Raw genomic sequence first — 14,422 nt, 5'->3', positions numbered from 1 at the left:
CCGGAGGCGGAAGTTGCAGTGAGCCGAGATCACACCACTGCACTCCAGCCTGGGCGACAGAGCGAGACCCTGTCTCAAAAAATAGAAATTTAAAAAAAAAAAGCAAAGAAAAAGAAAAATGTGTGTCCCTGGTCTTTTGATTTCTTGGAGGTGTCATTTTTATGTTACATTAAAATAAGCATGAATATGTAATTGTTCAAAAGCAAATTTTACATGACCTATAATGTAAAAGTAAGAGCCTTCAAAGATATTTTAGGCCATGCTCCCAGATCCTTCTCACATGTTAGTATTTTGGAGGAAATGTGAAAAAGGCACTACCCCTAGGTCTTGTGTGAAGGGTTGGAGGGAGGCATTTGTAGTTTAAATCAGAAAGTGAAAAGCTCCCAAGATGAAAGGTGTAATCTGGAAAGGAGCTTCAGGGACCGAGTTAGCCTGGGAAGAGAGTTGCTCACCTAGAGCCCTTCCCATCATAGATTCTGCCTCTTTTCACTAGACCGTCTGAGGGGCGAGTCCCAGATCACCAGCAGATTCTGTTTTATGGCCTAGGACTTGATCTCACTTCCTCTCTGGATTTGAGTCTCCTGTCTCCAAGATGGGCCTCCCTGAAGCAATGTGAGGCCCAGCTAAAGAGATAGGGAGTGAGTGAGATGGGAGGATCCCAGCCTAGCACCCCGACTCTTTCTTCACTCTGCATCTCTCTGCTTACCTCTCAGTTTCTTCCCCTTCTACCTCTTCAGAGTCTACCAGGGCCAGCTTGGTTGCTTTGTTGACAAGGCTAAGGGAAGGAGTGAGGCTGGAGGAGTTTAGGCTGGAGGTCAGAACTTCCTGGGGAATCTCTTTTTTTTTTTTTTTTTTTTTTTTTGAGACAGAGTCTCACTCTGTCCCCCAGGCTGGAGTGCAGTGGTGTGATCGCAGCTCACTGCAACCTCTATCTCCCAGGTTCAAGTGATTCTCCTGCCTCAGCCTCCTGAATAGCTGGGATTACAGGTACCCACCACCATGCCCAGCTAATTTTTTGTATTTTTAGTAGAGACAGGATTTCACCATGTTGGCCAGGCTGGTCTCGAACTCCTGACCTTGTGATCCACCCACCTCGGCCTCCCAAAGTGCTGGGATTACAGGCATGAGCCACCGCACCCGGCCACCTGGGGAATCTTCTAATAGTCTTAGGGCAGCTTAGCTGGCCTGGACCCACCTCCCTTGCCACCTGCCCCCTGCACCGACTGATCATGTTCAGTCACCCAGGAGATGATGGAGAGGCTGATCAGGCCTCCTGGAAAGGGAGGAAGAGGGCCCTAGTTGGAGAGATCCATCAGCAGAAGCCAGGGAGGAGATACAGACCCTTGCTCCCTGATGCTCCTCAGGGCTAGCATGGGGCAGGAGTTTAGCTGGGAGGAGGCGGAGGCAGCTGGCGAGATAGATGTGGCGGAGCTCCAGGAGTGGTACAAGAAGTTTGTGATGGAGTGCCCCAGCGGCACACTCTTTATGCATGAGTTTAAGCGCTTCTTCAAGGTCACAGACGATGAGGAGGCCTCCCAGTATGTAGAGGGCATGTTCCGAGCCTTCGACAAGAATGGGGTAAGGCACCCTGAAGGGAAGGACCAGTGGCCAGTCCACCTGGCGCCTTCCTCCACAAGTGTCCTCAGGGAGAGCTCCCAGTTCCCCACTCCTCGGCTCTTTCTCTGCTCTTCTTTCCACTCCGTCTCTCTTTACCTTTTCTGTCTCACTCACCAAACCCTTCTGTCTCTTCTCTTCCTTTTGTCCCTTTCCATCTTCTCTGTCTCTCCTTCCCTCCCTCCATCTCTTAGCTGTCGGCTGATGCTCCCTGTGTCCTCTTCTTGAGAGCTGAAGGGCGACTGGCAGACAGTCCAGGTCCTCTCTTTGTGTATTTTTGACCAAGACTCTGCAGCCCAATGACCGGGTTTTCGCATCTGCCAGAGCCCCTGTCACTCTAAACACTAGGAGCAAAAGAGATGTTCTAAATGAGACAAGGTATCTTAGCATGGGCTATGAGCTCCCTCTTGTTGGGGTTCTTCTGAGACTGGTCAGATCCTCCCTGTCAAGAATGCTGGAAGAGGCTCCTGCATGTATTGGGAGACTGGGCGAATGACTGCAAAAGCCCCTTTCAGCTCTTCAAGTCCTGGAAGGTTTCATTAAATCATTCAGACTAGAGTTTCTCTAAGCCCACAATGTCACTAGCAGCTAAGAAGATAACACATCTTGTAAATGCACCAGGGGATTGAATTTTAAATTTCAATTCAGTTAAAAACCCCTTGATTATTTAAGGTTATCCAGTTCAGTGCCCTGGCAATCCTCAAATACCTCAAATACCTCAAATGCCCTGGTATTTGCCTCAAATACCAATTTAATCTGAAGAAAGTGTCAGTTCTCCATTCCTCAGTGCGTGGAGAACTTAGCTTTCTAAGCTGAATCACTGGGAATGCCACTTCAGGTCTCATCCTGTCGCTGGTACCAGTCAGTGCACGTCCCCACAGTGCCTGTCCCGGGACAGGAGGGTGAGGTCAGCACCTTCAATTCAACAGAACCTCCTTAGAGATGAACCCCATCGACCACCCCACAGGGCACAGAGCCAGTTTCGGACTTCTCAGCGCTCCGCCTCTCTTAGGTCTCCTCTGAATCAGCAGCAACCCTGGGTGGGAGGGGCAGACTTTTGTTATTCCAAATTAAATGATGAGAAAGCTGGGCAAAAGGGAATGAATCGATTTGCCCAAGGTCTTAAGTGCTCCTGCCTAGAAGGCAGGTTTTTTAAAGAGAGAAGATGACTTTTTAAAATAATTGATGTTTTTTTAAAATGTAAGAAAAGTAAACAAATATATCAGGTCATAAATAATAAGACTCATTTAAGTCCATCAATCTTCCCCAGATTCATCTAAAAATCAATACGATCATGATTCAAGATCCAAAGGGCTGATTAAGCCCCTAGGCATATAGTTGTACTCCTTATACCTCATCTCTTCTTATAAATCGGCATATGATGTTCATCAATGTTTTTTCCTTTTTGAATAACTTTTTAATTTTACTATGATTCTAAATTTACAGAAGAGTTATAAGAATGATACAAGTAACTCCCATATGCAATTTATCCAAATTTCCCCAGTTATTCACATTTTATATCATTTACTTTATCATTCTGCCTCTCTCTGTATACATACATATATATAATGTATCCTATAAGTATATATACATATACATGATACATAATTTATACATATACTTTTTTTAAGAGAAAGCTATAGATATCATGCCCGTTTATCCCTAAGTATTTCAGTGTGTATTTTCTTTTTTGTTTTTGAGACAGAGTCTCGCTCTGTCACCCAGTGGCATGATTTCAGCTCTTTGCGGCCTCTGATTTCCCAGGCTCAAGGGATCCTCCCACCTCAACCTCTCAAGTAGCTGGGATTACAGGTGTGCACCACCATGCCTGCTAATTTTTGTATTATTTATTTATTTATGTTGGTAGAGATGAGGTCTCGCCATGTTGCCCAGGCTAGAGTGCAGTGGCACAATCTCAGCTCACTGCAATCTCCACCTCCTGAGTTCAAGCAATTCTCATGACTCATCCTCCTGAGTAGCTAGGATTACAGGTGCACACTCCCATGCCTGGCTAATTTTTGTATTTTTAGTAGAAACGGGGTTTCACCATGTTGACCAGACTGGTGTCGAACTCCTGACCTGAAGTGATTTGCCCACCCCGGCCTCCCAGAGTGCTGGAATTACAGGCATGAGCCACTGCACCCGGCCAGGTTTCTTTCTTTTTTCCTTTTTCTTTTCTTTTCTTTTCTTTTCTCTCTTTTTTTTTTTTTTTTTTTTTTTTTTTGAGTTGGAGTCTCGCTCTGTCACCCTGGCTGTAGTGCAGTGGTATGATCTTGGCTCACTGCAACCTCCACCTCCCAGGTTCAAGCGATTCTCCTGCCTCAGCCTCCCCAGTAGCTGGGACTACAGGCGAGCACCACCATGCCCAGCTAATTTTTGTATTTTTAGTAGAGATGGGGTTTCACCATGTTGGCCATGATTGTCTCCATCTCTTGACTTCATGATCCACCCGCCTCGGTCTCCCAAAGTGTTGGGATTACAGGCATGAGCCACCATGCCTGGCCTTCCTTTTTCTTTTTTTTTTTCTTTTTTTTTTTTTGTATGATCATACATTGCATTTACTTGTTGTATCTCCTTAGTCTTCTTTAACCTGGAATCTTTAATCTCAGCTTTTCTTTTTTATTTGACTGTGACATTTTTGAAGACTGCAGCTGAGTTATGTTGTAGGACAGCCCACAACTGGCGTTTGTCTAAATTGGTAGAATTGCCACTGATGTGATGTTGTGTCCTCGGTTCATCATACCATCCGGTACAAGACATCAGTTTGTCCCATCACTGGCGTAGTTAACTTTGATCACTTGGTTAAGGTGGTATCTGCCATGTTTCAACATTGTAAAGTTACTATTTTTTTCTTTGTAATTAATAAGCAACATGTAAGGATATATCTTGAGACTAAGTAAATATCCTATTGTTCAGTCAAATTTTCTACTGGCTTTGGCATCTGTTGATAATTTTCTAACCCCATCACCCCTTCTCTATTTATTAGTTGGCATTCCACTGTAAGGAAGAGCCTCCCTAGAAAGTGTTTTTCAGTTCCTCTCTCAGGGACTGAGCCTTCTTTCCCACTTAGTCTTTGTCTCCAAACCTACACCTGACTCCATTCCCCCTTATATCAAGGAGTGTCATTTCGGAACAATCGGTCTGAGATTTCTAAAGCAAATCCAATCAAAAGTGTTTATAGATGTGGTTCACACGTGAAAATGTGAGGTGATGGAAACCGGTTTGGTGGGGACAAAAAGGTAGGAACACCTCGTCTCTGCCACTCTCCCTTGCAACTCTCGTGGTTGCCCTATGACCGCCTGGAATGGAAGAAAGGGGAGGGTGAAGATCAGATGTCATTTAGGATTCTTATATAACATGCATTGAAGTCAGGGCTGGTGCACAAATATGGCCAATTCAAGGAGAAACAGGGCAGATAATCCCACAGAGCCGGTGACACGCCCATCCTATTCCTGAGTAGACAGAGCCATTTCCATCACTCTCAGGCCTCTGTGGGTAATTGGAGCTGACAAGGTCCCATGCATAGCAGATGAGATTAGTCCCAGCTGGACGTTTCCCAGAAATGGTCCTGGGGTTTCCAGTAACCTCTCAGATGAGATCACTTGTCTAGAGATCACTCTGGAATATGTCTCATATAAGGCAAGGAGTCATGGAAACTGAATCATGTTGAGAGAGGATGTTGTAGGAATAGAAGCTTCTGGACAAAGAATGAGGAAGACTCTGGAGATCTAGAGAGTGGGGATTTGTGAGTGGTTTCAGGTTTTGTTTTTGTTTTTCTTCTCTTGGCACCCCCAAGCACTAGGCTTATTTGCTGGACAGAAATAGATCTTAAGTGGAGACTGCAAGTTCTTCCGACGTGATGCACTGGAGGAGATGCATGCCTGGAAAAGCTCTGCCACTTGCTGGCTGGGTGGCCTGGGAACCTCTGGGTCTCAGGCTCCTCATCCATAAAATGGGGATAATAACTAATTCTCATTAAATAAGAAACACAAGATTGATTTGTGGTAAGCTTAATAAGTAACAACTACTCGAGAAAATAGCCTTTTAAAGAACTGACAACCATTGCTAAGTGTCTACCCTAAAAAAAGAAATACCAGAGATATAAGAAAAGGTATACGTGCAAAAAAAAAGTTCATTGTTTAATGGAAAATATTAGAAATATATTCAACAAAGGGAATGTTCAGTACCCCCTCCCCACCAAAAAAAAAAAAAAAAATGGAAGTTGACATTTTAACTAATTTTTAAAGACATGAGAAAATGTTACATGAGAATGAAGGAAACAAAATTATAAATATAATCTGACCTCAATTAGATAAGTATATGATGGGGAGTACGGAGACCATATATTTATAGGAATTATATAAAAGATATGAATAGAACACTTCAGGTACTAAGGTAAGCTCGTTTTGTTTTCTTCTTAGTTTTTCCTTAGGCTTCTTGCTGTTTCCCTCATTTTCTGCCATTTTCTCCTGTTGCTCAAACCTTGTTCACTGAGGCACCCCTTGATCTGGGGCTGGGGCTCCTGAGTGGCCTGACCCAGTGGGACAGAAGTGCTCTGGGCCATCAGTGTCATTTCTGATAACAAAGTCATGTGAATGACAGGCACTCCTGGGGGATCTGATAGCTCAGATTTTTGATTTGGAGAATGGAGTTCCCAACCTTGGAATAAGTGAGCACCTGTAAGTGAGACACTAGCACAGCTAACCCACTGCAGCCACCAACAGCAGCGGCAACAGCAGCCTGTCACCCCAAACACATCTGGAGAAGAAAGCAAGAATATATCCTCTTTCTTATTTACTGTTTTAGAAATCATTATTGCTGCCGCATTTCTGTTACAAGAAGGTTCTGTTGCTTCCTGGTGAGAGTCACCTTAGAAGTAGACTGTGCCTCTCCCCCTTCCTCTGCCCAATTAGCACCTGAGCTCTGCGCTCCCCAACCTTCCTGGATGGGCTGGAGGCACAGGCCTGTTGTTCGGTGTAATGTCCACTGGGACCTAGAAGTGGGTAGGGCTGGAGCCACTGCCTGTCTGCCTCTCTCTGACTTGGGGTGAATGAGAATGCAGAGGAAAATTTCAACATGGGCTCTGCTTTCTAATTCCTTCAAAACTGTCTTAGTCCCAAATTCAGATCAAGTCCATCATTGACTCATTGATTTATGAATATCTATTGGCTTACAATTCTGGCCATAAGTGGCACTGTGCTAGGCATGGAGGAGAAACCCAAGCAATGTCAACCCCTCTTTTCCCCAGGAGCATATAACATGGCTAGAGAACAAGACAAATCTAGGAAACAGTTAAGTGACAATGCCAGAGAAAGTCCCAAGCTGTGTAGAATAGACAGTAGAGGCTGTGGATGTTAGAATGAGGAGGGAGAGAGCACTATGGCTGAAGAGGTCAGAGAATAAAGGCTTCCTGGAGGAGGGGACCCTTGAGCTCAGCCTTGAAGGATGGGTAGGCTTGGGTGATCATAGAAAATGAGAAGAGAGAATGTTCTCTAGGCTGGGTGTGGTGGCTTATGCCTGTAATCCAAACACTTTGGGAGGCCAAGAAGGGAGGATCACTTGAGCCCAAGAATTTGAGACCAGCCTGGGTAACTTAGTGAGACCCTGTTTCTAAAAATAAATAGACAGATGATAGATAGTCAGATAGAGAGAGAGAGAGAGAGATGATATAGATATAGATAGATAGATAGAATGTTCTCTACCCCAAGGGTGGAGAAAGACTTGAGCAAAGACACAGAGGCCACATGGATTAAAAGGAGGAGGAGAAGCCCTGTGTTTGCAGGGATGAATGGCCTATGCTCTGGGGAGGTGGGCTGTGCCCTCAGCAGCATCCACATCTAATGCAGGACAACACCATCGACTTCCTGGAGTACGTGGCAGCTCTGAATCTCGTGCTGAGGGGCACCCTGGAGCACAAGCTGAAGTGGACATTCAAGATCTATGATAAGGATGGCAATGGCTGCATCGACCGCCTGGAGCTACTCAACATTGTGGAGGTTAGTGTCTCTGCCCATGGGCCAGCAGCCTGGGCACTAGAGCACTGCTGGAGCTCTGAAGGTTGGCCACAAGTGGCCAGCGGGGACTGAAGAAGAGGCCTTGAAATCATTCTGAGTGTGTTTCCTGTGTTCTCATTCTGAGTGTGTAATTTCTAGTGGAATTAAGCTAGAAATCAATCAAAAAAAGATTATTAGAAAATCCCCATCTGTTTGGAAATTAGGCAGTAGACTTCCACATACTCTGTGGAACACACACACACACACACACACACACACACACACACACACGACAAGTATCTTAAATTGAAAAATAATGCAAGCATGACATACTACAACTTGTGGAATGCAGCTAAAGCTGAACCTGCAGAAAAATTTATAGATTTAAAATACACATATTAGAAAATAAGACTTAAAATGCATATATTTTGGAAACAGAAGCTGGGTGCAGTGGCTCATTCCTGTAATCCCAGCACTTTGGGAGGCTGAGGTGGGAGGATTGCTTGAGCCCAGGTGTTCAAGAACAACCTGGAAAACAAAGCGAGACCCCATCTCTACAAAAAAATTAAAAATTAGCCAGGCTTGGAGGTACATGCCTGTAGTCCTAGCTACTTGGGAGACTGAGGTGGGAGGATTGTTTGAGCCAGGAGTTGAAGGCTGCAGTAAGCTATGATCATGCCACTGCATTCCAGCTGGGGCAACAAAGTAAGAACCTGTCTCAAAAAAAAGAAAGAAAAGAAAATATATCTTAGGAAATAATTAGAAATTGCATACTATATTAGAAAATAAGACTTTATATATTAGAAAATCAATGATCTAAGAAACCATCTCAGGAAATTAGAAAAAAGGAAGAGTAAATTAAGGCCAGGCACAGGGACTGACACATGTAACCCCAGCACTTTGGGAGGCTGAGGTGAGTGGATCACTTGAGCCCAGGAGTTCAAGACCAGCCTGGGCAACATAGTAAGACCCCATCTCTACAAAAATTACAAAAAAATTAGCTGGGCGTGGTGGTACGCACCTGTGGTCCCAGCTACTCCAAAGGCTGAGGTGGGAGGATTGCCTGAGCCTGGAAGGTCGAGGCTGCGATGAGCTGTGATTGTGCCACTGCACTCCAGCCTGAGCAACAGAGTGAAACCTTGTCTTTAAAAAAAAAAAAAAAAAAAGTAAAATAAACCCTTGGCCGGGCACGGTGGCCCACGCCTGTAATCCCAGCACTTTGGGAGGCCGAGGCAGGAAGATCACGAGGTCAGGAGATCGAGACCATTCTGGCTAATACAGTGAAACCCTGTCTCTACTAAAAATACAAAAAATTAGCCGGGTGGGGTGGCAGGCACCTATAGTCCCAGCTACTCGGAAGGCTGAGGCAGGAGAATTGCTTGAACCTGGGAGGCGGAGCTTGCAGCAAGCCGAGATTGCACCACTGCACTCCAGCCTGGTGACAGAGCAAGACTCCGTCTCAAAAAAATAAAATAAAATAAATCGAAAGATAGTAGAAGAAAGAAAATAAACAGCAGAAATCAATAAAATAGAAAACACAAATGCATGAGAAAAAGTCAAGAAGATCAGAAGTTATTTCTTTTAAAAGACTAACAATCATTCTCTATTAGCAAGAATGATTAAGGAAGAAAAGAAGTGCCTAGTACATCCCAGACTCTGGCGTGTTCCCTGGGTTAGCCAGACCCGCGCTATGAGGCAGGCATCGTTAGCCCTGTTTCACAGAGCAAGAAGCTGCTTCATAGAGATTCTGTAATCGGCCCAAATTAGTCTACCTAGGAAGTGCTGGGGCTGGATTTAACCCCTCAGTCTCCCAAGACACGTCGATGAGGCCTATTTTATGCTGGGCACTGGGCTGAGCAGTGAGGCCATAGAGGTGCATAAGACGCAGCTTCTGTCCTCAGGGAGCGCCAGCCTGGGAGCTAAGGAGAACCATCATATGTGTCCATCTCTTCCGCATTTACATGGTGCTTTCTTTCTTTCTTTTTTTTTTCTGAGACAGAGCCTCGCTTTGTTGCCCAGGCTGGAATTCAGTGGCGCAATCTCGGCCCACTGCAACCTCTATCTCCCAGGTTCAAGCGATTCTCCTGCCTCAGCCTCCTGAGTAGGTGGGATTACAGGCGCCCACCACCTTGCCCAGCTAATTTTTGTATTTTTAGTAGAGACAGGATTTCATCATGTTGGCCAGGCTGGTCTTGAACTCCTGACTTCAAATGATCCACCCGCCTCGGCCTCCCAAAGTGCTGGGGTTACAGGCATGAGCCACAGCGCCCAGACTACATGGTGCTTTCACAAACATAGTCTCATTGGGAGAGGAAACAGGGCAAAGGAGAAACCTGGGTTTTTCCCTCCAGTCCATGAGGAGGGAACATGTGTATCCCCATCATTCTGTTTTACACATATACAGGCACACTTATATAGATACACTGAATTTTCTTCTCTGCATCTCTATTTCTTCCTGTGTAGAATGCAATTTAGACTGTCATGGTGACTTAAACCTCCCTCATTAGAGGTTTTGGATTTGGGCTTTGCAGCTCACAGTGGAAATGCAAATGGTGTTGGGGTCAGGTGGGGTGTGAGGCCGGGAACTCAGCTGGAATTAGGCCAGTGGGATTCTGAGAGCACCGCCTTAGGACAGGTCAGTTTTGATCTGGATCCAGATTATGTGATCCTAAGACGCACAGCCTGGGAAGCCAGCACTGGGGAAGTGGTGCTGGGGGATGTGGGTCACTGGGGTGAAGGTGGAGCTTTCAGGGTCTCCCGTCAATGCAGCTGAGTTTTCTTTGGCAGGGAATTTACCAGCTGAAGAAAGCCTGCCGGCGAGAGCTACAAACTGAGCAAGGCCAGCTGCTCACACCCGAGGAGGTCGTGGACAGGATCTTCCTCCTGGTGGATGAGAATGGAGATGGTAAGAGGGGCAGAGATGGGGAGAGTGCTGTCCACTCTGCATCATCGCCACTTTCTGGCCGCACGTCCTTGGGCAAGGCCCTCCACCTTCCAACCCTGGGGTCCTCATCTGTGAGAAGGCTGTGGAGAAGATGTCATGAACTAACAAAGGGACTCATGAGCACGTGTTTGTAGGAGTGACTAAAAGTCCTACAGGAGTTGCTGATGGAGGCCAGGCACGCAGAATAGAAAGAATAGGAACTTTGGAGTCAGGCAGGGAGTGATATATTGAGCTTCTCGTCCTAGTCTCAATTTCCTCATCTGGAAAATGGGGATAATAATAGTGGTTGAGAGGAATGAATAGGATAATGTGTTTAAGAGCAGGCATAGGGTAGACCTCCATTCAGGCTGCTTGGGCTTTCCTCCCTGTAGCCCAAAGCCCAGCCTCAGGGCTATGTGGGGAGAGAGCTGGCTTGGAATACACACTTGAGCCCTCCAGCTCTCTCAGCTCCACCCAGCATTTCCGTGGTACCATGCGCAAAAGTAAAACTTCAATTCATCAGCAAAGAAAGCCCCTTAAAGGTGGCAGGAGACTCCTGGAGATTCAGACACCTGACAAGCCGCAAGCTTGAGGTCTGAGACTGCAGGATAGTTGGCATAAGACGTGTAGGCGCATCCTGGGAGCGAGGTCTCTCCTCCTGCCCCCAGACCCAGGTCTCCCCTTCTTCTACATGACCACCTCTCCTCCCCCTTGCTCAGGCCAGCTGTCTCTGAACGAGTTTGTTGAAGGTGCCCGTCGGGACAAGTGGGTGATGAAGATGCTGCAGATGGACATGAATCCCAGCAGCTGGCTCGCTCAGCAGAGACGGAAAAGTGCCATGTTCTGAGGAGTCTGGGGCCCCTCCACGACTCCAGGCTCACCCAGGTTTCCAGGGTAGTAGGAGGGTCCCTGGCTCAGCCTGCTCATGCCCACTCTTCCCCTGGTGTTGACTTCCTGGCACCCCCTGTGCAGGGCTGAGTGGGGATGGGGAAGGGCTGCTGGGTTTGAAGTGGCCAACAGGGCATAGTCCATTTTGGAGGAGTCCCTGGGATGGTGAAGGGAATTCAGTTACTTTTCCTGTTCAGCCGCTCCTGGGAGGACTGTGCCTTGGCTGGGTGGTTGTGGGGCTCCCACAGTTTCTGGGTGTTCTCAGTTGGAAGCAAGAGCCAACTGAGGGGTGAGGGTCCCACAGACCAAATCAGAAATGAGAACACAAAGACTGGTAGGAGGCAGGGGTGGGAGGGTGTTGAGACTGAAGAAAAGGCAGGAGTTGCCGGGCACGGTGGCTCACGCCTGTAATCCCAGCACTTTGGGAGGCCGAGGCGGGCAGATCACGAGGTCAGGAGATCGAGACCATCCTGGCTAACACGGGGTGAAACCCCGTCTCTACTAAAAATACAAAAAATCAGCCGGGTGAGGTGGCGGGCGCCTGTAGTCCCAGCTACTCAGGAGGCTGAGGCAAGAGAATGGCGTGAACCCCAGGGGGCCGAGCCTACAGTGAGCCGAGATTGCGCCACTGCACTCCAGCCTGGACGACAGTGAGACTCCGTCTCAAAAAAAAAAAAAGAAAGAAAAGAAAAGGCAGGAGTTTTGGGGGGCAGGGGGCAGCAATAATTCTATAACTTCCGGGATGCTGAGGGGCGTTCATGGGGAGGACCCTGGCCTCCTCCTCCCCAAGGCATCCTCACCAGTGGTGTCAACAGGAAAAATGGCAGCAAATACGCTGCAGGCTGTGGTCTTTCTGCCTTTGAAAGGGTCAGCTGTACTTAAAGGGACTGTTTCAGCTCTGCCTGGGTGCTGCTCTGGGACCCCCTGCTGCCAACCCACCACTCCCCCAACAATCCTCTCTTTCCATCCATATCCCCCAGTATGGACCTTCCACAACTCCCAGCCATAAGCTGAATGTTTCTCTTTAAAGGATGGAGAAAACTTCTGTCTGTCTCTGGCAAGAATTGGGGGACTGTTGACTGGGATTGTGGGCTGGGCTTGGCTTCTAACTGCTGTGTGACCCAAGACAGCCACTTCTCCTCCCTAACCTTGGTTATGTCTTGGCAGCACAGTGAGCAGGTCGGACTAGGCGAACAGTTTTGGATTATTGTGTTTTTAGATGTGGAATTATTTTTTGTTATATAAACTCTTATGTGTAACCCCAATATAGAAACTAGATTAAAAGGGAGTCTCTCTGGTTGAAAGGGGAGCTGAGTACCCTCTGGAACTGGAGGCACCTCTGAAAAAAGCAAACTGAAAACCAGTGCCCTGGGTCACTGTTACTCCTATAAGACAGTTTAAAGTGAGACCTGGAAAAACATTTGCTTTACCTTGAATAGATAGGTTTTTATGTTGGTATATAAGAAATAAAACTAACCTATTAAACCTGAGACTTTACAGGTGTGTTATTTCATATGATAGTCATATAAAATTTCCTTTAGACATCAATTTTAGGTAAAAAATAATTGATTAGAAAAATATTGGCCAGGTGCAGCAGCTCACACCTGCAATCCCAGGACTTTGGGAGGCCGAGGCGGGTGGATCACCTGAGGTCAGGGGTTCAAGACCAGCCTGACCAACATGGTGAAACCCCATCTCTACTAAAAATACAAAAAAAAAAAATTAGCTGGGTGCGGTGGCAGGCGCCTGTAATCCCAGCTCCTTGGGAGGCAGAGGCAGGAAAATCACTTGAACCTGGGAGCTGGAGGTTGCAGTGAGCCGAAATCGTGCCATTGCACTCCAACCTGGGTAACAAGTATGAAATTCCATCAAAAAAAGAGAAAGAAGGAGAGAAAGAGAAGAAAGAAAGAGAGAGAGGAAGGAAGGAAGGAAGGAAGGAAGGAAGCCAGGAGGCCAGGTGCGGTGGCTCACGCCTATAATCCCAGCACTTTGGGAGGACAAGGCAGGCGGATCACCTGAGGTCGGGAGTTTGAGACCAGCCTGACCAACTTGGTGAAATCCCGTCTCTACTAAAGCTACAAAATGAGCCAGGTGTGGTGGCATGCGCCTATAATCCCAGCTACTCGGGAGGCTGAGGCAGGAGAATCACTTGAACCCAGGAGGCAGAGGTGGCAGTGAGCCAAGATTGTGCCATTGCACTCCAGCTTGGGCAACAAGAGTGAAACTCCATCTCCAAAAAAAAAAAACTACATATATATACGTATATATACATACATACATATGTATGTATATATACATATATACACACACACACACACACACACACACACACACATCCAGGTGGGACACAGATGTGCCCCAAATCATGAAGAAGGTATGTGAATGACATCGAGGGATGTCCTAATTACATGCAGACACCTTCCCAACTCTGACCTTCAGGATTTCCCGACAGGCAGCCAGCCAAAGGAGCAGAAATGTCAACTCCCTTTTTCTTCCTGGCTGCGCACGGCACCAACCTCTACCTTCCCTCCATGTCTGTCACTCAGTCCCTGGCTGACTTCCTTGTCTGGGGAGGTCCAAGTGATAGACAGGACATGAGCAAAATGCACCCCCTCATCCGCCCAGTGGGGCACTCTCTGACTTGGTATTTTACTTATTTTTCCCCTCATTTTCTCCCTCCCACTTCTGAATGTATGTATGTATTTATTTATTTATTGGAGACAGGATCTGGCTCTGTCACCCAGGCTGGAGTGCAGTGGTGCAATCTCGGCTCACTGCAACCTCCGCCTCCCAGGCTCAAGCGATCCTCCCACCTCAGCCTCCTGAGTAGCTGGGACCACAGGTGCATACCACCATGCCCTGCTACTTTTTCTATTTTTTGTAGAGACAGGGTTTCACCATGTTGGGCAGGCTGGTCACGAATTTCTGAACTCAGGTGATCCGCCTACCTCAGCACCCATCCCAAAGTGCTGGGATTATAGGTGTAAGCCACCACACCTGGCTT

The 14,422-nt window shown here is 46.9% G+C and overlaps 1 protein-coding gene across 1 annotated transcript; it reads left to right on the top strand.

The window, feature by feature from the left end:
- On the top strand, positions 1,236 to 12,908 carry GUCA1B (guanylate cyclase activator 1B). The gene is made up of 4 exons (NM_002098.6): positions 1,236 to 1,578; positions 7,461 to 7,610; positions 10,395 to 10,512; positions 11,250 to 12,908. The coding sequence occupies exons 1-4, from the start codon at positions 1,372 to 1,374 to the stop codon at positions 11,375 to 11,377; spliced, it is 603 nt and encodes a 200-aa protein (NP_002089.4). The 5' UTR covers positions 1,236 to 1,371; the 3' UTR covers positions 11,378 to 12,908.

The sequence above is a fragment of the Homo sapiens genome, chromosome 6 (genome assembly GCF_000001405.40).
Source record: "Homo sapiens chromosome 6, GRCh38.p14 Primary Assembly".
Taxonomy (NCBI): Eukaryota; Metazoa; Chordata; class Mammalia; order Primates; family Hominidae; genus Homo; species Homo sapiens.
Note: the sequence above shows the minus strand (reverse complement) of the source record. Positions and strands in the feature narration are given on the sequence as shown.